This window comes from Homo sapiens, chromosome 7 (genome assembly GCF_000001405.40).
Source record: "Homo sapiens chromosome 7, GRCh38.p14 Primary Assembly".
NCBI lineage: Eukaryota > Metazoa > Chordata > Mammalia > Primates > Hominidae > Homo > Homo sapiens.
Genome location: NC_000007.14, coordinates 38,232,715 through 38,256,127, shown reverse-complemented (window position 1 = coordinate 38,256,127; position 23,413 = coordinate 38,232,715). Strand labels below are relative to the sequence as shown.

Here is a 23,413-nt window from a genome sequence, read left to right as displayed (position 1 = left end):
CTTTATACACTCAGGAATACAGATAAATGTATCAATCCCCATCTATTCAACAGCTCACTTCAGAAGAAATGTCACTATTCATAAAATGCTTTTTATTTCTAAAAGCCTAATTGTACCTGCTTCTAAAAGCAATTAGAATGTTTTACGTATTATCTCAAATATGATCTGCCTGAATACAAGGTGATTTTTCATTTTCCAGAGAAAATTTATACAAGTTTAAGAAAATATGTATTTTCCCCTCCCCCAACTTGAATATGTAAATTTATAGGGATACAAGTAAAAAAGTGAAATGTCTAATTATAACATTCAATTTCTTAACTGGATCATACCTCAAAGTTAAAGATTATATCAATACCAATATCAGTTGAGAAATATTGCCTTTTTTGCCCTTATATTTCATTAAAATTTTTGTTTTATGCTTCACATGCATGTAAAGCATCTATCTCAGAGCAACTTTCTAAGGCATCTCAGGTCTCAGTGTCCATTTTGGATTCCTCAAATGATGATGTCCCTGAATATTTTACTCTAAGAAACAATGATCCACTCACAAAATAAAAGGAAATTATTTTTTCCGATTTATTCTGTTATTCTACACTTGTATGAAGTAAGTAAGAACTACAGGGACTTTAGCTCCAAGTAATAATGACCAAATCCATGATAAATTTCTTTGCTTTTTTTCCTTTTACCAGTGCTATCCCCAAAACTAGCATTCATTGAGTTCATTTCATGTCGGTATCTCCTCCAGTTAGTCCTTCTGGATCAAAGCAGAGTATTAGAAGAACATTTTTTAATATGAGAGTTTACACAAAGACTGTACCATACATAAGGCACCTCCCCATGTTGTGAGAGAAAAATTTTGGAAAAAAAGCCTCATTTTAGGTTCTGGCACTTTCTATCTAAATTTAGTATGTAGGTGTCCCTATCACAGAGCTAGGATTTGCAAACATATTCTCCATTCCTTGTGTCTTATTTGAGCTTGACCTTACAAAACCATCAACTCCTGGGGACAAAAGAGAAACATGCTAAATGCACAAACTCTTTGTTATTTATTTAAGCTATCTGTTTCTAAAATCTATTTGAGAAGACCTAAATTAAAATACACAAGCACAGTCAGACCATTAAATATATACAGATGATCTAAAGCCCTAAGGAAAGGAGAAGGAAAAAGGCCTGTGATTACCTAGTGAGGAGCACAGTTTAAAATTTTATGCTCAAAAGAAGGAGAAAAAGGTAGGGGAATACATACATCTTACTAATTGATAAAAAGAAGCACACCAAATTTTCAAATATCATATTTTTTCTATTACTAAATTGGAAAAAGACTTCAATGCATGAGTCCTTTAGAAGGAAATGGAAGAGTGGGCAGTGCCTTCAACTTCCATTTTGGAAAATGAAAGGAATGGTCATGAAAAACCCACTGCATATTACCACTGCATCAGTGCTATGGGCATCCTGACATTTAATGAAATGCGCAGATGGTGATGCTCAGCAGACATGGTCAGGCAGATAACATGTAGTGATCTAAAGTGACAACAGAGAGATGGATTTGAGGACCAGGCCTCTTGCCTTTTCTCTACCCATTCTCCCTTGAAGGGTCAAGCCAGGTGTTTCGAGCGGGACTTTGGCATAAACTAGACAGAAGTCAGTTTGAGGCTGAAGTTTCTGGTGAAACTTGGAAGGCAAATAAGTTGTGCTGCTGATTAGAAAAAGGCTCACTTGTTTTGAAAAACACAAGTGAAGAATTTCCATACACTGACACTGACTGCATATATTAGACTTTAGCCAATATTCCCTTTGATTTTCTTAACACGGCAGGTAAGGCAAAGGATAACCTATTAAAGATTGGGTGTGTGGAAGGCATGTTTCTTGTGATGATGGGGACGATGGCTTTGAGAATCCCAGAGCAAAGTGGAATGCAAACAGAGGAACTGAGAAATTATTCTTCCTGCTTAATTGCTATGGATTTAACTGCCACTCCAAAATGCTGAATTTTTTTTAGTAAGGGCAATGCTTGGTCCTATAGGGTTAAAATGTCATGTCAAGGCACACAATCATAGCAAACAGATTGCCAATCATAACAATGACACCATATTCATCATAATCTCTTATATTTCCACAGCATTTTTTTTTGAGGCAGGGTCTTCCCCTGTTGCCCAGTCGGGAGTGCAGTGGTGTGATCAAGGCTCACTGCAGCCTCGAACTCCTAGGCTCAAGTGACCCTCCTGCCTCAGCCTCTCGAGTAGCTGGGCGTACAGTCGTGCACATCATGCTCAGCTAATGCTTTTTGTATTTTTAGTAAATATGGGGTCTCACTAGATACTGGGTTGCCCAGGCTGGCTTCAAAATTCTGAGCTCAAGCAATCCTCCCACCTCAGCCTCCCAAAGTGCTGGGATTATAGGCACGAGCCACTGCACTGGGACCTATAACATTTTAATCAAATTGCTTTTTTATATCTTGTTTCATTTTGGTCTCACTTCAGTGTTGGTAGCGATGTTGAACTGATTTTGAAACATCACTGTTTTTAGACAAATAAAACACCAAAAGCTTTAAGTTATTTGATTTGTGGAGCAACAGAACTTGTTATGAGCAAAATGAACCAGGACTGGAACCCTGGTCTTTTGAGAATCCCAGACCACCAGAATTTGAAGAACTCAGGGAAACTGAATTAGAGTTTTTGATATGGACTGAATCACTGTGGAATTATTATAAGAAACTCTTTGGCAGTGGAACAACACTTGTTGTCACAGGTAAGTATCGGAAGAATACAACATTTCCAAGGTAATAGAGGGAAGGCAGGAAATGATTAAACTGGAATAATGTAATAATGTTTAGAAAAAAGAGGAATTGGATGGGGATTTGATGTAGAAATCCTAGGAGAGACTTTAAAACAAATGCTCATACTAAAAGAGAACATAGATAACATGGCACAGATATCATAATAGGATTTGGCTTTGTGCATATACGGACTTCCATAAAGGGCTCATATGTAATGTATGAAATGATCTCATTAAAATGTCTGGCCCTGAGACCAAATGTATTATGACAGGTTAGTTTGTGATAGACTCTATAAAGCGGACACATGTTCATCTCTGATGGTCAAAGAGATGTTGACTCTTGTTGTGAAGGAGCCCGGGTGTTGGAGTCAGGTCCACCTGGAACTCTGGCTCCACTACTCACTGCTTAGTGAAATTGAGTGATTATTCTCTGGCCTCAGTTTTCTAATCCATAAAATGGGATAACAGTATGAATTCAGCAGGGTTGTATAAGAATTGCACAACATAGTGTGAATTAAGTACTTGGCACATTGTCCAACCCAAAATAGGTGCCCAACAAATGTTTTCTGGATTCACATGTAAAGAGACAATGGGATCTACTATGGAGAGTTGCTCTCAGTCCATCTAATTTACAGAGCAGCAATTCTCCAGAGGATTCAGCTGTACTTCTAACTGCTCAAATGGAAGGTTATCTTAACATCAGCTCACAGACAAAAATTGAACTTATGGATTCGTTTCTTGTTAGCAGACTTTTTAATCACGTGGCAAAAACATTGTATTAAGATGTCTGTTTTTTATTTTTGTTGTTCTATGTGCTTTACTTAATCCTTTATCTTAATTGATATCATTTCTAACACCAACATATTGGTCCTAAGATTTATAGCCAATTAGTTTAGGGTTCTGTTCATATGTCTCAGGAAAAAAAGGTTAAAATCTTACCAAAAATAGTCAAGATATCAAATCAATTAAATCCAGTTGGAAACATCATAAATCTGAAATACATATTTAAACATAAAATGGCTATAACTATTTAGCTAGTGAAAAAATAAGAAATAGAGAACTCTTAAATAAATATCCACATGTAGATTTAATATATCATACCGTCTATAAAACTGTAGTTGATACTTGGTAAATTTACAACGCTGCATTTTAATAAACTACAAACAACTTAGGCAATTTAACTCAAATATACTATTTGATTATGCAAATAAATGTATATAAATGAATCCAACAGGTTTATTTAAATAAATAAAATATATATATTCTATTTGTTACTGAAGTAAGTAAAAATGTACCATACTTGACCATAAAAAACACTCTTAATATGTACATTTTAAAAGTAGTATTTTAAAAATCATGTGAGAGGATGATCCAGAATATCGGCCCTTACCATGTATAATCGAGTATGCTATTTAATGATTCGTTAACTATTACCTTGAGAAAGTTATGGAAGTTCCAGATTCATTTTGTCCTGAAAAGAATGAAACTTAAAGAATCTAGCTAAAGAAAGGGGCAAGAGACAATGAATGCTGTGGTACCGTACAGAAAATGTCCAAGTTTATCATTTGATTTTTAATTTCTTTAGTACAATGAATTAGAAGTATTTCAATGAAGAGACACTAGTTCTTAGGATGAAAATTAGATTGGAAAATACATTGACTAGAGACTAAAATTATATAAATATAATGTACAATTGAAAAATTACTCATATTTTATAACATGCTTTTAAAATTAGAAGCAAACTATATGGTGGAGAAATATACACTGTCTCACAAGTATAACAAGTAAAATACTATTTGCACTAAAAGCAAAGAGTATGAAATTAAGATGAGCACATTATGCCTAATTAAATTTATAGCATGCTCACAAATTAATATTTCTGTATATGTTTACTAATTTTGTATGAAAATCAGAAGCTTTGCTACACAGACAGAAATTATCAAGATTGTTTTCTTTTCTTCTGAAATGAGAAATTTAATTCTTATTTTCTTAAGAAATTGTTCAATTATTAAACTCACTTCAAACCAGCCAAAGCATTGGAGTTTCAATGGGAAATCAAAATAGAAAGAATTGTAACATTTATAATTTCAGTTATTAGATTAAAAATACGTGTATAACCCATTAACATCCCAGATTCAAGTGATATGCCTTTGTAAACATATGATGCTTTGTTATGTATCTTGACCCTATCCCTATAAGAAGCTCTGAAATCATGACTTTTAATAGAGCAATTACATACTCATTTTATTCAGCAGGCTAAGACAAAGAGAATAATGGAGATTTAAAACAGTTAAATAGCATATTAGGACAGATACAAATTCTGGGAGAGACATAAAGAGTCAAAATATAGATACACTGATTTACATAGACCTTCTCATTAATGGGGTAAATTTATATAAAAACCAGTATAAAAATTACACCCCTGGTGCATTCTTAGTCATTCTTAAACTTCAAATGAAATTCCAAAATAAAATGTGCTTTTGGTGAATATTTTCTAAAGCAAAATGAAATTTTGATAAGTGCATTACTGGAGAAGATTAACACAAGAGTATTTCTGAAAATAATCAAGAAAAAATTTAAATAAGAATTTTGGAAATGTTGCCATTTTGTTTCTAAAGTCAAGAGATGGTGAATAATCTGGAGGTACAGCTGTAAGTACTGCTGCATCCCAAAACTTGGAGGGTGCAGATGTGAAATTGAGATGTTATATAAAGTTAGATATTAACTAGGGGGACTGCTCATGGTATACACATTGAAGCTACATGGTCAACTTGATAGACAGTATGTACATGCGGAAGTAGATTCTCTTTAAAACAAGTGACTGTGTATGTTAAAAATAAAAGTGAACAAAATGGCTAGGCATGGTGGCTCACACCTATAATCCCAGGATTTGGGAGGCTGAGGCAGGCAGATCACTTGAGCGCAGGAGTTTTAAACCAGCCTGGTCAATATGGTGAAATATGTCTCTAGAAAAAACAAATATTAGCCAGGCATGGTGATGCATACCTGTAGTCCCAGCTACTTGGGAGGCTGAGGTGGGAGGATCACTTGAGCCTGGGAAGTCGAGACTGCAGTGAGCTATGATCTTGCCGCTGCATTCCAACCTGGACGACAGAGCAAGCCCCAGTCTCAACAACAACAACAAAAATTTTGACATTGATTCATATGGGAAATAAGATAAATAACAAGATAAATATGGTGCATCGCAGAATCAGTTAAATGAAGAGTGGAAGTACACGAAATTGCAGAACATGAGAATGTGTCATATTTGGCCAAAGAACATAAGTTACAAAGGATGGAAAAGGGAAGTGAGAAAAGGACCAAAGAGTCTCATCTGTAGAGAGATCATTAAGGTTTTCTGACCTTCCACTTTCCCCTGCCATCCACCTTGAAAACCTGCTTCACTGTGATGAAACAAAAGAGATTTAAAAATAAAATAAATATGCTCATGAACTTTGGAAGCCCTGGTAGGAGGCAGTTAAAAATCACACTCATCACAGCATGTGCAGAATAAACAAAGGCCAGGTTTTCGTCCAGCATCTGACACTTGAGAGCTGTGACTTTTGGCAAGTTATTTAATGTCTTGATTCTCTTTTCAACATCTGTAAAATAAGCACAATAATAAGTACTGTGCAGCCTATCCTGGATGAAAGGCCGCGGTGGACACCAGCTCAATGGCATCTTCTCTTTTTATGGTTATGTACTAGGCCACTCCAAACCGTGCAATGTGTGTGTTTCTCTAATGATTCTTTTAAACTCATATTTCATTTCTCCCCATAGATAAACAACTTGATGCAGATGTTTCCCCCAAGCCCACTATTTTTCTTCCTTCGATTGCTGAAACAAAACTCCAGAAGGCTGGAACATACCTTTGTCTTCTTGAGAAATTTTTCCCAGATATTATTAAGATACATTGGCAAGAAAAGAAGAGCAACACGATTCTGGGATCCCAGGAGGGGAACACCATGAAGACTAACGACACATACATGAAATTTAGCTGGTTAACGGTGCCAGAAGAGTCACTGGACAAAGAACACAGATGTATCGTCAGACATGAGAATAATAAAAACGGAATTGATCAAGAAATTATCTTTCCTCCAATAAAGACAGGTATGTGTTTACACATATCATCTGTCAGAACACTTCTTTGAAAGTGAATGCTGCATTTTTTCCTTTCAGTATTAATGAAAAACATAAATCTTTCTTAAAAATTGTTACATTTAATGGTAGCGTAAATGCCCTGCTACTTTTCTATAGAATTAAAATGGTATAGGTTTTGGAGAAAACAAAATTGAAAAAGTTGCTGAAGGTTTGTCAGCCTCAGCTCCATTATCCAAAATAAGAAAGTCACGTGCTGGTTTTTAGGGTTGTTAGATGGATTAAAGAAACAACATACACAGAAGCATCTAGCAACGTGACACGTGGTAAACGCTCAAAAAGTGTTCTCCCTTCTTTTGATGACTTTACTTGATCAGGAAATAACATATATATGTCTTTCAGGAATGTTCTGCCCAAGCAGGAGAGTCACTCACCTCAATCTTGCTACCCACAAAGTTTAACCTAAAAACAACGGGTTCATTGTTGACAAAATAATGTTTATCTGAAGATAACTGTAGATCATATTTATCTGTAGATAATGTTTATCTGTGGAGTGTGGCTCTACAAAACATAGAATAGTCTTGGTCACTGCAGTTTTATAGAGGCCTTGGGTTTTTCAGAGTTTCATTTTATATATCACCATAAAGTAACATTTCATAATTACAGGTTGGTAAGGCTTACATGTACAAACATTCTTCCATTTTCCATAATAAATGCATTTCCTGCCATTGGTGAATGCAGCTCAATAAACATTTATTGTACAATTATGACACGCCAGGCTTAGTGGAAATGTGGATGAACAGACAAGGATGAGTTACTGTCCTAAGGATGATGCATGACAGTGCAGAGAATATACTCTCTTCCTGATCACTCAGGGTCACTCATGATTCATGCGCGAGGTCCCAAAACAGTGCCTTTGATGCAGATTCTGTACATCTCTAGACGATTGGTCCAAGGGCTGAATGTGCTCTGGCCCAGTGGTCCAGTCTGTCACTATATGTCAACATCCTGAATATGAACATAACAGTCCAACATCTCAAGAGTGGGCATGAAAAGGACTCATTTTGTGCTTTTTCCTGTGGTTAACAAGTCCTTTTTAGCCTGGGGGAACAAGCATTAACAAAATGTTTGAAGATCTTTGCCACGTACCATTCCAAATTTCTAGGGTAAGTCTTTAGCTTTTCAGATCCTGAGTTTCTGCAATGATCAAATGTGATTTGGACAGTTGCGTTGACTTTCTCCTGGGGCTATAATGGAGTGCAAAGGAAACAATGGCAGGGAAAATGCTTGCTTTCAAAATGGTAGCATGGATGTGTTCATTCGTGTAGTTACTGTATTAGGTATAGCCTTTCCTGAAACTAACTGAAGTGGGGTTATAAAAACAGTCCCAATTTTCTATTTCCTTTGCTGAGACACAAAGAGGAGACAAAAGAGCAAAGCTTGAGGGTAGTTTTACCACTGTGCTTAAGTGTTCTGATTTTTCCAGTGATCAGGGTGAAATAAAAAGCATAGTAAGTTCCAGGGCAGTGAATACCATACAGGAGACAAGTTACAGTTTTATAATGTGTTTTACTTTACACTAAATTCTAAAAGTAAAATGTCTTTTTTTTTTTCCGAGACAGAGTTTCACTCTTGTAGCCCAGGCAGGAGTGCTATGGTGTGATCTCGGCTCACAGCAACCTCCACCTCCCAGTTTCAAGCGATTCTTCTGCCTCAGCCTCCCGAGAAGTTGAAATTACAGGTGCCTGGCACCATATCTCGCTAATTATTCTATTTTTAGTAGAGATCGGGTTTTACCATGTTGGCCAGGCTGGTCTCGAACTCCTGACTTCAAGTGATCCACCCGCCTCAGCCTCCCAAAGTGCTGGGATTACAGGTGTGAGTCACTGTGCCGGACCTAACAGTAAAATGTCTTTCATGTGCTTCTCAAGGCAACTACATTAAGGAGGACACATCTCTTAATGTCATTCTACAGTAGATTTCTAATGCTCTTTCTTGGAAGTTTGTTTTTCTGAGAAGAGCTAAAAATATAATAACATGGAAGTGATCATATTATATAATCAATGAAGTGCTTTCAAAGGAGATAAAACTAACCTGGTCTGCATTTGCAACCAGCCTTGATTGAGAGAGAGAGAACTCAGGATACACTTAGAGATTTTATTATGGGGAATAGTTACTTTATTCATTTTACCTCAATCAATGCATGGAAATAAGTGACAGTCATTTTCATTTATCTTTTAATAAATAAAGTCACCATGAGGAAAATGAAAACCCATTAAAGTCAGTCCTTAAAGATATTTGGACATGCAGACATGATAACTAACATTTCCATTCGTGAGACTTACCCAAAACCTATACCTCAAGTCCATTTCTTAGAATACATGAAATAAAGATCTCAGTGAGTGTATAAAACTGCACACCAGAATCATATCCGTATAGACAAGAATACATCTACTAGAAAAATATAAACCAAAACACCAAGGTGACTCTGTTTTTTTCTGTTTTAAAATATGTTGTCTTTGTATGCATGTTTGCTTCTTCCTTTTTTTTTTTAAACATCGCAGATAAATTCAACTCTCACCTCAGTTGAGAGAGAACTGTCAATGTGACTTGGCCTCTCTCTTTCTAGTCCCAGAAAGAATTGCACTGAAATGCTGAGCTCCTGTAATAAAAATGACCATTTGCTGAGAGTAATTAACATACTGAAAGAGATTTTCTTAGAATAGTGCACAATGGCCCAATGGTGACATTATATTGTCTCTTTATAAATTATTTTCTATCTATTTCTGTGGATTATTTCTACAAAGCACTTTTCATATGTCCAATTCCTTTTATTCCCCTACAAGTACTGACTGACTACTGGCTCTGCTGTTCACTGATATGACTTTCGGCAAGTTGCCTGCACTTTTTAAACGTTATTTCCTCATTCAGAACATGGGGCCATACAAAATACAACTCACTTCAGTGTTATTGGGGAATTAAACAAATAAATGCATGGGAAGCATTTAACATAGTGCCTGACACAATAATGAGCACTCAGTAGATGTTAGCTTTTATTAATATTGTTGTTGCTATGTCCAGAAACACTATACCTCCAGAAAATCATGGGTACTTGCTGGGGACGTTGGGGATATGCATGATTTTGAAAGGAGTGACTGCTCTTTACTGCTCAGATGAGAAATTTTTCTAAGCCAGACTCCTTCAAACATGTAAGATTCTGTTGTGGATTCTAGGACTGAAAGAATTCTTGGCCGAGTGTGGTGGCTTATCCTGGTAATCTCATCATTTGGGAGGACAAGGCAGGAAGATTGCTTGAGCCCAGGAGTTGGAAACAAGCCTGGACAACATGGCGAAACCCTGTCTCTACAAAAAATACAAACATTAGCTGGTCATGGGAGTGAGTGCCTGTACTCCCAGCTACTCAGGAGGCTAAGATAGGAGGATCACCTGAGCCTGGGCAGTTTGAGGTTTCAGTGAGCCGTGATGACACCATACTATACTCCACTCCAGCCTGGGTGACAGTGACATCCTGCCTCAAAAAAACCCCCAAAATTATTCTTTTTGCTGATTTCATGTCAGCAGTGTGTGCTGAAGGCTGTAAAGTAGCCACTTGTTCTGTTTATTTTTCCATTGAACAAGTATTTATCAAAAACGTACTTTGTGGAAGGCACTGTGCTAGGAACTATGCATACAGAAGGAAAACCAAATGTTCTTGGATACTACACTCCAGTTGTGATAAAAAAGAAAAAAGTATTCTTCACAAACTTCAACATTTTGATGTGCAAAAACATAATATATGAATTAGATCTACCTAACTACACAGAATTAGACCAATTATTTCTGGGATTATGGGCTCATATTTTTAATAACTGTCCTCCTACCTCTCTGTTGACAGGTTTTATAAATATTCATTTAATTACACACAGTCACAGACACACTCAGACACACACACATACACACACACACACACCTTGACAAATAATGGGCATGAACAATTGACTGGTACTTGCTCTCATTCTTCTAGATGTCACCACAGTGGATCCCAAATACAATTATTCAAAGGATGCAAATGGTAAGTTTTTGTGTTTTTTATTTCCTCCTGATCATTTTAAGTTTTGAACTTCTCTGGCTTGAAAAATCAGGGAATGGATTTTGCTAGGTTGGATGCTGCAGAATGGACCTAATCATATTTTAAATTAGTCCCTCTTTTTCTAGGAGTTGTATTAACAAACCTAACTACTGCTTCATGTAAGAGATGACTGTAAATTGAAGGGTACAGTGATATGCTTTCAGTTATTTCAAAAAACAGACTTTACTCATCCATGTGTCTTTTTTCTTTTCTTTTTTTTCTTTTTTGAGACGGAGTCTCGCTCTGTTGAACAGGCTGGATTGCAGTGACGCGATCTCACCTCACTACAACCTCCGCCTCTGGAGTTCAAGCGATTCTCCAGCCTCAGCTTCTCAAGTAGCTGGGACTACAGGCACATGCCACCATGTCCGGGTCATCTTTGTATTTTTAGCAGAGACCGGGTTTCACTATGTTGGCCAGGCTGGTCTAGAATTCCTGACTTCGTGATCTGCCCCCTCAGCCCTCCGAAGTGCTGGGATTACAGACGTGAGTCACTGTGCCCGGCCTAACAGTAAAATGTCTTTCATGCGCTTCTCAAGGCAACTACGTTAAGGAGGACACTTCTCTTAATGTCATTCTACAGTAGATTTCTAATGCTCTTTCTTGGAAGTTTGTTTTTCTGAGAAAAGCTAAAAATATAACATGGAAGTGATCATATTGTATAATCAATGAAGTGCTTTTCAAGGAGATAAAACTAATCTGGTCCACGTTTGCAACCAACCTTGATTGAGAGAGAGAGAGAACTCAGGATACACTTGGAGATTTTATTATGGGGAATAGTTACTTTATTCTTTTTTCCTCAATCAATTCATGGAAATAAGTGATAGTCATATTCATTTATCTTTTAATAAATGAAGTCACCATGAGGAAAATAAAAAGACATTGAAAACCCATTAAAGTTAGCCCTTAAAGATATTTGGACATGCAGACTTGATAACTAACGTTTGCATTCTTGAGACTTACCCAAAACCCATACCTCAAGTCCATGTTTTTAGAATTCATGAAATAAAGATCTCAGTGAGTGCATAAAATTGCGCACCAGAATCATATCCGTATAGACAAGAACACATCTACTAGAAAAATAATAAACCAACACACCAATGCAACTGTGTTTTCTTCTGTTTTAAAATATGTTGTCTTTGTATGCATGTTTGCTTCTTCCTTTTTTTTTTTTAACATCACAGATAAATTCAACTCTCACCTCAGGTTTTATTGAGAGAACTGTCAATGTGACTTGGCCTCTGTCTTTCTAGTCCCAGAAAGAATCGCACTGAAATGCTGAGCTCCTGTAATAAAAATGACCATTTGCTGAGAGTAATTAACATACTGAAAGAGATTTTCTTAGAGTACACAATGGTGACATTATATTGTCTCTTTATAAATAACTTTCTATCTATTTCTGTGGATTATTCCTACAAAGTACTTTTCATATGTCCAGTTTCTTTTCTTCCCCTACAACTACCGTCTGAATACTGGCTCTGCTATTTGCTGATATGATTCTCGGCAAGTTGCCTGCACTTTTTAAACTTTATTTCCTCATTCAGAACATGGGGCCATGTAATACTCATGTACGTGAGTATTACGTAATAATGCTCACTTAAGTGTTACTGGGGAATTAAACAAAAAAATGCATGGCAAGCATTTAACATAGTGCCTGACACAATAATGAGCACTCAGTAGATGTTAGATTTTATTAATATTGTTGTTGTTATGTCCGGAAACACTATACCTCCAGAAAATCATGGGTACTTGCTTGGGATGTTGGGGATATGCATGATTTGGAAAGGTATGACTGCTTTTTTCTGCTTAGATGAGAAATTTTTCTAAGCCAGACTCCTTCAAATATGTAAGATTCTGTTGTGGATTCTAGGACGGAAAGAATTCTTGGTCAGGTGTGGTTTCTTATCCCTGTAATCCCAGAATTTTGGGAGGACAAGGCAGGAAGATTGCTTGAGCCCAGGAGTTTGAAACCAGCCTGGGCAACAAGACGAAACCCTGTCTCTACAAAAGTACATAAATTAGCTTGGCTTGGTGGTGTGTGCCTGTATTACCAGCTATTCGGGAGACTGAGATGGGAGGATCTCCTGAACCTGTGAAGTTTGAGGCTTCAGTGAGCCGTGATGACACCATACTATACTCGACTCCAGCCTGTGCGACAGTGAGACTCTGCGTCAAAAAAAAAACCCCAAAATTATTGTTTTTGCTGATTTCAGGTCAGCAGTGTGTGCTGAAGGGTGTAAAGTAGCCACTTGATCAGTTTATTTTTCCACTGAACAAGTATTTATCAAAAACATACTTTGTGGTCTGTTTTTGATAAATAAAAAGGCACTGTGCTAGGAGCCATGAATACAGAAGGAAAACCAAATGTTCTTGGATACTACACTCCAGTTGTGATAAAAAAGAAAAATGTATTCTTCACGAACTTCAACATTTTGATATGCAAAAACATAGTATATAAATTAGATCTACCTGATTACGTAGAATCAGACCAATTATTTCTGGAATTGAGGGCTCATATTTTTAATAACTGTCCTCCTGCCTCTCTGTTGACAGGTTTTATAAATATTCATTTAATTACACACACACACACACACACCTTGACAAATAATGGACATGAACAATTGACTAGTACTTGCTCTCATTCTTCTAGATGTCATCACAATGGATCCCAAAGACAATTGGTCAAAAGATGCAAATGGTAAGCTTTTGTGTTTTTCCTTTCCTCCTGATCATTTTAAGTTTTGAACTTCTCTGGCTTGAAAAATCAGGGAATGGGCCGGGTGCGGTGGCTCACGCCTGTAATCCCAGCACTTTGGGAGGCCGAGGCGGGCGGATCACGAGGTCAGGAGATCGAGACCATCCCGGCTAAAACGGTGAAACCCCGTCTCTACTAAAAATACAAAAAATTAGCCGGGCTTAGTGGCGGGCGCCTGTAGTCCCAGCTACTTGGGAGGCTGAGGCAGGAGAATGGCGTGAACCCGGGAGGCGGAGCTTGCAGTGAGCCGAGATTGCGCCACTGCACTCCACTCCAGCCTGGGCGACAGAGCGAGACTCCGTCTCAAAAAAAAAAAAAAAAAAAAAAAAAGAAAAATCAGGGAATGGATTTTGCTAGGTTGGATGCTGCAGAATGGACCTAGTGATATTTTAAATTAGTCCCTCTTTTTCTAGGAGTTGTATTAACAAACCTAACTACTGCTTCGGGTATGAGATGACTGTAAATTAGAGGGTACAGTGATATGCTTTCAGTTATTTCAAAAAACAGACTTTATTCATCCGTCTGTCTTTTTTTTTTTTTTTTTTTTTTTTTTTTGAGACGGAGGAGTCTCACTCTATCACCCAGGCTGGAGTGCAGTGGCGCGATCTCGGCTCACCATAACCTCCGCCTTACTGGTTCAAGCGATTCTCCAGCCTCAGCTTCTCAAGTAGCTGGGACTACAGGTGCACACCACCATACCTGGCTAATTTTTGTATTTTTAATAGAGATGGGGTTTCACCACGCTGGCCAGGATGGTCTTGAATTCTTGACCTCGTGATCTGCCCCCTCGGGCTCCCAAACTTCTGGGATTATAGGCGTGAGCCACTGTGCCCGGCCTTCTGTCTTTTGTTATAATGACTGGGGAAAACATGATACCATGTTGCTTCTTGAGTTGTTTTGTTTTAGTCTTTGGTCTTTGCTAGTAGCTAATAACACGAACTAGTGTTTATCAAGTGCTTTTTACACAGAAGGGCTTGTTCTGCATTTTCTAGTTTAATCATCTTAATACTCCTATAAAGTAGTACAATATATTTTCTCCCATTTTACAGTCCCTTTAAAGTAAATAACTATAAAAATCCCTTATACATGTCACACAGCTAGGTCTGGCATTTCAAATCAGGACATCAAACAAAGAATTCGTGCAGTTACTAAGTCCTCTATTTTTTCTACAATAGAAAAAATAGCAAGAATTACAGATAGCAAGACATTACAAGGCAGGAATCTGAAACGAAAGGGACATAATGTGGGGCTGGGTGGGTGCATGAGCTTTGCAGACTAGACTTTCATTCCAGCTCTTTTAATGATTAGGTGTAAGTGACCTACATTTTGTGAGTAACAGTTTTCTCATCAGCCAACTAAGAATAATTACACCAGATTCACAGTTATTGAAGAGATAAGGGCATGAATGTGAGATGTCTGGCGTAGGGTATCTCATTTAGCAGACACAGAATGAATACTTGTTTCTGGCTTTTTCTCTCTACATATGCACAAAGAATGTGACTAGAAGCATTGGCTCTAGCCCTGCTCAACTTTCCTCTATTTCCAATACCAAGGGGCTCTGACTTAGGCTGCCACACCAGGCAAGGAGGGGCAGTACCACCTCACTTGACCAAGGGCAGGGAGTCACGGACACATCACTTCCTGAGATCCTTTTCCACACCAAGGACTGATGTTTCTGGAATTCTCACTTTATGAAGACAAAACATATAAATGGAAATTTCTGCAGGAAGAGACTCACTCTTGTAGCTCATTGAGTAGGCACTAGTGGTCCACCCCCACTGTCTTTACTTATTCCTTGACATCACATATCTCTTGTAAAACCTCAAATAATGTTAAATGCAATCACCCAATAATAGCATAGCCATAATTAGAGGCATTTAGGAAAGACAGGTGAGTGTGCCACAACTACCTAACACATCAGCAAATCTGGATTAACCACTTTCTTTGATTTTCCACAATGCAACCTTACTTTTTAATAGTTGGGAATGTTCTAAGTGAATTTAGCAGAGGTTGTTAATCAACTTGAAAGCTGAATTCTGACTTGTCTGACTCTTGGTGGTGCTGGTAGCAGTAGATGTTTACTTTTAGGTTTTGGTGGTGGTGGAATATCACTTCAACGTAAATCATCAGAAATAAGTATTTGTGAACCCCTCTCGCATTAATATATCTTATTCTGTAAAAAGAACATGTGCAATTTCTCTTAGATACACTACTGCTGCAGCTCACAAACACCTCTGCATATTACACGTACCTCCTCCTGCTCCTCAAGAGTGTGGTCTATTTTGCCATCATCACCTGCTGTCTGCTTAGAAGAACGGCTTTCTGCTGCAATGGAGAGAAATCATAACAGACGGTGGCACAAGGAGGCCATCTTTTCCTCATCGGTTATTGTCCCTAGAAGCGTCTTCTGAGGATCTAGTTGGGCTTTCTTTCTGGGTTTGGGCCATTTCAGTTCTCATGTGTGTACTATTCTATCATTATTGTATAATGGTTTTCAAACCAGTGGGCACACAGAGAACCTCACTCTGTAATAACAATGAGGAATAGCCATGGCGATCTCCAGCACCAATCTCTCCATGTTTTCCACAGCTCCTCCAGCCAACCCAAATAGCGCCTGCTATAGTGTAGACAGCCTGCGGCTTCTAGCCTTGTCCCTCTCTTAGTGTTCTTTAATCAGATAACTGCCTGGAAGCCTTTCATTTTACACGCCCTGAAGCAGTCTTCTTTGCTAGTTGAATTATGTGGTGTGTTTTTCCGTAATAAGCAAAATAAATTTAAAAAAATGAAAAGTTGACTTTTGTCCATGGTATTTTAATTGGATGACATCAAATTGAACATCCAAGGTAAGAAACAACATGGCAATTGGGCTGTGGAATTCTGTATTGGTTGTAAGAATGGTCCAACACCCCATTTCTAATTCTTTCCCTGAGATCGTGGTTATCACACCTTCTAAGAGGAACTACAACCAAACGAAGGAGCCCATGTGGCTTCTGTTTGAAAGGTCACCAGAGTCAGATTCATCTGGTTTAGGACATTCCAGTGGCTATAGGACACTATCTACTGTGACGCGTACCGTGTGAGCTCAGCTGTAGAGTGTTTCGCAGACACTGTGTTTCCTGATCCTCACGATACCCCCGTGAGAGCTGCCCTAAAAGCAGAGAGGCAGCGTGATGGAGAGGTTCAGCACATGCTCTCTGATCCCAGGAATCCTGGGTATGGTGTTTCGTATCTGTGTGACCTCAGGTGAGTTCCAGGAAATCTATGTGCCATAATCTCCTCATGTAAAATGAAGTTATAATGCCCCATTTCCTGAAGTTATGTGGATTAGATGAGTTAATGACACCTGGCACATGCAAGTCCTCCACAGTATCGGCACGCACTGTTGGTGCTCTAGAGACAGTAATAAACCAAAAAGTGTCTGACACAGGCCTCAATCAACTTAGAAGTTTATTTTGCCTAGTCTAAGGGCATGATCAGAAGAAAATAACATGGAATCACAGAAACAGTCTATGGTCTACACCTTTCTCCAAAGATGAAATTGAGGGCCTCAATGTTTAAAAAAGGAAAGTGGGCTGGAGGGGAGAGAGGGAGGGTATAATTATCCACATGTTGCAAGAGCAAGGGAGCAGGTAGGGGAACTGCCAATTATGTATTCATGTTGCGCTCAATAAATCAGCACTTTACATAAGATATGGTTAACATAGAGTAGCTACCTCTGGAGCTATTTCACCTTTCATCTGTAGCTCTCTGTTTAGGCACAAAAGGAAAGGCAGCTTCTCACATGACCCAGCTTTTGGCTTATTTTTTTCTAAAACATAGCATGATGAATTGGGATCCAGAGTTTTTCTTTTCCTTTCACATAGTAGATTCCACACATATGCAAAAGCACTAACAGTTATCTCTACTCTCACCTCTCCGCAGAGAGGTTAGGTGGTGGGAATAGGGACCCAGTGAGTGTCTACTATGCACTAGGCATCCGAAATCCTTGATGAGCCAGTTGAGGTCAGTACAATTAAGGCTCACAGTTCACAGATGAGAAAGATTAAATTACCTACTCAAGGTCACTATTTTTAAAGTAATAGTCGTAATTTAAAGCTAGGTCCCTCTGAACCCAGAGCCCATATATTTAAACACACACACACACACACACACACATTTATCCAACATCACGACTTTCCTTTCACCGACTTTCAACTGGGGAAAACAAAACAAAACATGCGTTGTTTCTTTACTAAAGGCATCCTCACCAGAGTCAATGAGAATTTTCTTAAGGAAATAATGGTGCACCTGTGTTTTCTCCTTATCTACACTCCAGGCCACTGGTTTGTCACTAATTTCCCATTTGTTTTTTCTCTTTGGGTAAAATTGGCCTACTCTGGAATTACCATTATTGCTTCCTTGGCTGTAAAGAGTATAGAAATTCTACCCCTGTGAGTGTGTGTCCTAGATCTGCAGCTGCTCTTTTTGGGGGTGCTAATGGACTGTAAATTTCAGACACAGCAGGACGGTTCATGGTGCTCTCTGGGTATGTATAACATTCTGACACCCCAGCTCCTTCCAGAGACTAAACAGGCTCAGAGCTCTGCAGAATCACCTTGGAGGAGATTCTGGAACACCCACGTGCATTTCTGAGGTAGGAGGTAGAAGAAGGTTATGCATTGTTCTTGGTCCAGTACGTTTCCACCATGGCACAGCTACCACATATCGGGAGGTCACATGGTGTGGGAGGAATACTAGTCACACTTCACAGCTAGTTAGAGCCCTGGCCACTTGGTCTGGCTCTAACAAGCTGTACCATTTGTTCTTTTCTTTTCCTTTTTTTGAGAAGGAGTCTCATTCTGTTGCCTAGGCCGGAGTGCAGTGACATGATCTTGGCTCACTGCAATCTCCACCTCCAGGTTCAAGTGATTCTCCTGCCTCAGCTTCCCAAGTAGCTGGGATTATAGGTGCCCACCACCACACTCAGCTAACCTCAGTCCTGCCTTCAGGCGATCCGCCCAACTCGGCCTCCCAAAGTGCTGGGATTACAGGCTTCAGCCACCATGACCGGCCACAATTTGTTCTTAACCATCCCACATTGCCTAAGTTCATCTGTCTTTAGAAGAATGTGTTTAGATTAAATAATTTCAGATTTCTACCTAAAGTTACAAATTCAGTGATTACCACCCTGAGGAAGTAATGATAGCAATCACAAATACAGTGCCCACCATGTACCCGGTCCTGGCTTAAGGACGTGTTCACTCATTTAATTCTCACAAAAATTCTATATGTACAATTATCTCTGTTCTATGGATGGGGAAACTGAGGCAGAGGGGGCTAAAGAACTTTCGCATAATCAAACAGCTACTAAGAAACAGGGCTGGAATTTGAACTCAAGCAGCCAGGCTCCAGGACCTCCGCTCTTACCTTCTATGTTATTTCCTCTTAGAGTGAAAACAGGTTACTTGTAGTTTCAATTAACACATGAAAATGTCCTTCCTTATTAGGCTATGAAGTAGGAAGGAAATTGCCTCTTTGGCTGTTCACATTTCCCCTCCTTGCTCCAATGCTGTTCAGATAATTAGAGGGTTATAAGCCAACCTGCCAATTTGTCAATGCTGGGAAGACTTTTATATGCTGAGCTCCCATCCATCATATAGGACTTCTGTGATTAAAGACCGAAGCACATGGTTGGACAAAATAAGTACCAGAACAGGCAGTGCCCACAGGTGTGCAATGGAAAAATTAGGCAAAGATTTATACAGTTCTACACAAAAACACGTATCTCAATAGTCACTACAGAGTTAGCATACTCCACACGCTTGTCAAATAAAAAAGAAAAAAACTCCAATATGGTGACACCCTGTCTCTACTAAAAATACAAAAATTAGCCAGGTGTAGTGGCTTGTGCCTGTAATCCCAGCTACTTGGGAGGCTGAGGCAGGAGAACCACTTGAACCCGGGAGGCGGAGGTTGCAGTGAGCCGAGATCGCGCAACTGCATTCCAGCCTAGGCGACAGAGCGAGACTCTGTCTCAAAAAAGAAAAAGAAAGAAAAAAAAAAAGGAAAAACTATATATAAAAAAACTCCATATATTTCTCAACTATAAAAAAGTAAAACTTCAGTTCAACAGTTCTCAAAATATTTCTAATTATTTATTCTTTCTACTGTTTTGGAATTCCTTTCCTCATAGATTTTATTTTTGAAGGTTTTTGGTCTTTCAAGAAGGTCACGATTAATGTTTTCCCCATTATACTAATCAAAGTCCTATATAACTGCCAGTGAGAAATTCTGAGTAATAAGAGATAACCAGAGACACTACACCCATATAATTCAGCCAAACAGCTAGAAATTCAAGATTTTCATTAGCCATGAAAAGTTATTTGAGTAGATGCGTAGCTTGCACCATGATTTGTTAGGTTCTTTTTCATTTATTTGCTTTTTCTGTTGTGTTTGAGGAATAGTGAGTACCAACCACTTACTGAGCAGCAGAAATATGGCTTGGCAGCTTGCGTCCTCTCTCTCTAATGCTCTCAACTGCATCACCTTACAGCCATTATGCTCATTTCACTGATAAGAAAACCAGATCTCGAGGTTAAAAAATATGCCCAATTAACCACTGAGTGAGTCCCAGAGTTCACATGATTCCAGGACTGTCTGACTTAAGACCTGCTGCCTTATCCATCCTACCAGGGGCTCTCCTTATGGGAGCCTTTATCACGGGCCAGGCATCAGGACCTTGGAAAATCCTCTTTTCATAATTCTAATATGCAGCCAGGGTGGAGGCCAGCAAGTGACTGAAATAGTGCCTGAACTCCAGCTGTGCTCCACACAAGCCGTAAGGAAACATCTCAGAGCTCACTACACACGGGTGGAACACACGCCACCTGGAAGGTGTTCTTATCATGGGACCCATTTATTTCCCAAGGAAACGAAAGGGGTGTACCAAGATTTATGTGCAAGGATGTTCATTCACGATAGTGTTATTTCAAACAGCCCCAAATTAACCCAGGTGAACAATCAGAAATTCATAAATAGACAAATACGCATCTTCCAAAAAGTATAGATTCTTTAACCCATTTCCCATTTAGAAAAAAGTGCAGCTCGCTGTTTTTACATAAACACACTCTTTTGAGGCTGAAGCAAATATGACTGATTTTCAACGTGAATATAAAATGTCAAATCTGTTCCTGGGCTGGGTGCAGTGGCTCACGCCTGTAATACTAGCATTTTGGGAGGCTGAGGCGGGTGGACTGCCTGAGCTCAGGAGTTCGAGACCAGCCTGGGCAACACGGTGAAACCCCGTCTCTATTAAAATACAAAAAATTAGCCGGGAGTGGCAGCGTGCACCTGTAGTCCCAGCTACTCAGGAGGCTGAGTCAGGACCATCACTTGAACCCGGAGGCGGAACGGAGGTTGCAGTGAGCTGAGATCACGCCACTGCACTCCAGCCTGGGCGACACAGTGAGACTCTCTCTCTCTTAAAAACAAAACAAAACAAAAACTGTTCTTGGAGTTATTTCTAAACAGAACTTCTCTCTAATCCTAATGTAACATCATGTACATTTCTGTTGCATTAGGATTAGAAATGAGTATTCTTGGGGCAAAAAGGAAATGGGTTAAAAACTGGAAAATAAATAGATATGGAGTTGAAAAATAATATTCATAGCATAAATCCTATTGTGAGATAAATACATTTGAACACTTACATGGTTCGAAAACACTCCAATTTTTATTTAGTTAAATATGGATGTACATATATAAGTATCCATGTACATGTATATATGTTCTCATTTCCCCTTTTTACACAGGGAGTATATAGCATATATTAATCTGCACATCTCTTTCCATTTATAAATCTTAAAGCTCTTTTTATGTTTATATACAGGGGCACTTCACTACAGGTATTTTTTTTTTCTTTTTTTTGTTTTTGAGACAGAGTCTTGCTCTGTGGCCCAGGCTGGAGTGCAGTGGCTGATCTCGGCTCACTGCAACCTCTGCCTCCTGGGTTCAAACGATTCTCCTGCCTCAGCTTCCCGAGTAGCTGGGATTACAGGCTCCCACCACCATGCCCAACTAATTTTTGTGTTTTTAGTAGAGACAGGGTTTCACCAGGTTGGCCAGGCTGGTCCCGAACTTCTGACCTCAAGTGATTCGCCCACCTCAGCCTCCCAAAGTGCTGGGATTACAAGTGTGAGCCACTGTGCCCAGCTAAATACAGATATTTTTCACTGGTGAACATACTTTCAATCGGTGCCTTGGTTTAGTACCAGTCTTTTGCTATTATAAAAAATGCTGAAATGAATGATAGTGTTTTATGTCATTTGAACATATGCACTGGTAATTTTGATGGGTACTGCCAAACTGCCCTCCATAGAAATGGCCCTAACCCCTTCTCCCACAATGTGTGTGAGTGCTGACAGCCTACTGCTTAATGTTGGGTTTTGCTAATTTGACAGGTAAAAATAGTACTGCATTGTGGTTTTAATTTGCTTTTTTTCTTACTGTGAGTGAAGATAAACATCTTTTTATGTTTAAGGTCTATTTTATATTATTCTGTGCCATATTTGTTCATGTCCTTTGGCCATTTTTTCTACTGAGTAATAACACAAATAGGCATGCCATTCATTTATATGTGTGTCTGTGTATTTCTGCAGACAAAGATAAAACAATGTTCATTGTTGGTATGTGGGTGAAAAAATAAGTGATTGTGTGTTTTCTGTTTTCTCCGGTGAATCCTTTTAAAGTAAACATTTTTATATATTAGAATTAAAACAATGTGTTACTGAACATTGGGAAGGTTTTCTGGTTTGCCTACAATCAGCTTGTTTCTGTGAAACATGTTCTTTTGGAAACCAAGTAGAGAATCCTACTTGTAAACAAAGCAAGACCAACCAGACTTAAGAAAGATCAAATTTAATTTAGATCTACTCCTTGATTCTCATGAATTGATTGAATCTCTTTAGGGCAAATACCTGGCCTCTATAGAGAAATCTGGAATGATTTCTGCACTGGGAGAGGAAACTTTCAGATCACTAAGGGCTTTGTGGGGCTGATATCACCAGCCGAGGTACTGGGCAATGTCTCCTGTGGTTTCACACTTCTTAGCGATTTCCTTCCCCAACGCAAGCTGGGCTGCCCCGAACTTCAGCAATGTAGAGAGAGAATGCAGTGGTGGTGGTGGAGGAGGCAGAGTGGGTGGTGGGAGGGCGCTGATGTGGCGGATGGTGTTTTATTTTCTCAGGCTTCTTTTGTTTACGTGCTCTGGCAAATGTGGTTGATTCATGGAAAATGCTCAAAGTCAAACCGGCCCCTACTGGTTGGGGCTGTGCATGGGGTGGCTAGGGTGTTGTAAGACAAAACGAGGACAGTTAAACCACAACCAACTTTGCTCACTTTCAAGAGCCCACAGCTAATGGAAATAAAATATCCATCTTCACACATACAAGATTACTATCAAACACACTCTCCACCCTGTGGGTAGGTGGGGCTCCCTGCATTTGATATTCAAGGTTCATTAGCTACCAGGTGAGTTGGGAATCTGATGCCCAGGACTGTTCAGACATGGCACCTTCGGTCCACTCCCATGACACTGTCCTGAAGACCAGAGGACATCTTGCAGCACGGAGATGATCCTAACATTCCACCCAGTATCTGTACCTTCCAGAGGCACCTGA

At 39.0% G+C, this 23,413-nt stretch overlaps 2 gene segments (V, D, J or C) and 1 further gene, besides 2 other annotated features; all 3 read left to right on the top strand.

The window, feature by feature from the left end:
* TRG (T cell receptor gamma locus) overlaps positions 1–16,104 on the top strand; it is a 128,032-nt gene extending 111,928 nt beyond the window's left edge.
* On the top strand, positions 2,699–2,748 carry TRGJ2 (T cell receptor gamma joining 2). The segment is given in 1 exon segment: positions 2,699–2,748. A coding segment is annotated over 1 exon segment (50 nt), but the record flags the coding sequence as incomplete, so codon positions are not given.
* Positions 6,556–16,104, top strand: TRGC2 (T cell receptor gamma constant 2). The segment is given in 4 exon segments: positions 6,556–6,885; positions 10,898–10,945; positions 13,653–13,700; positions 15,962–16,104. Coding segments are annotated over 4 exon segments (569 nt in total), but the record flags the coding sequence as incomplete, so codon positions are not given.
* Positions 16,704–16,904: a silencer, noted in NCBI's record as "peak6494 fragment used in MPRA reporter construct". NCBI's record gives its function as "represses an SCP1 promoter by STARR-seq MPRAs in K562 erythroleukemia cells {active_cell/tissue: K562}" and the evidence as "EXISTENCE:reporter gene assay evidence [ECO:0000049][PMID:32103011]".
* Positions 22,772–22,851: an enhancer, noted in NCBI's record as "active region_25866". NCBI's record gives its function as "activates an Ori minimal core promoter by ATAC-STARR-seq in GM12878 lymphoblastoid cells {active_cell/tissue: GM12878}" and the evidence as "EXISTENCE:reporter gene assay evidence [ECO:0000049][PMID:35858748]".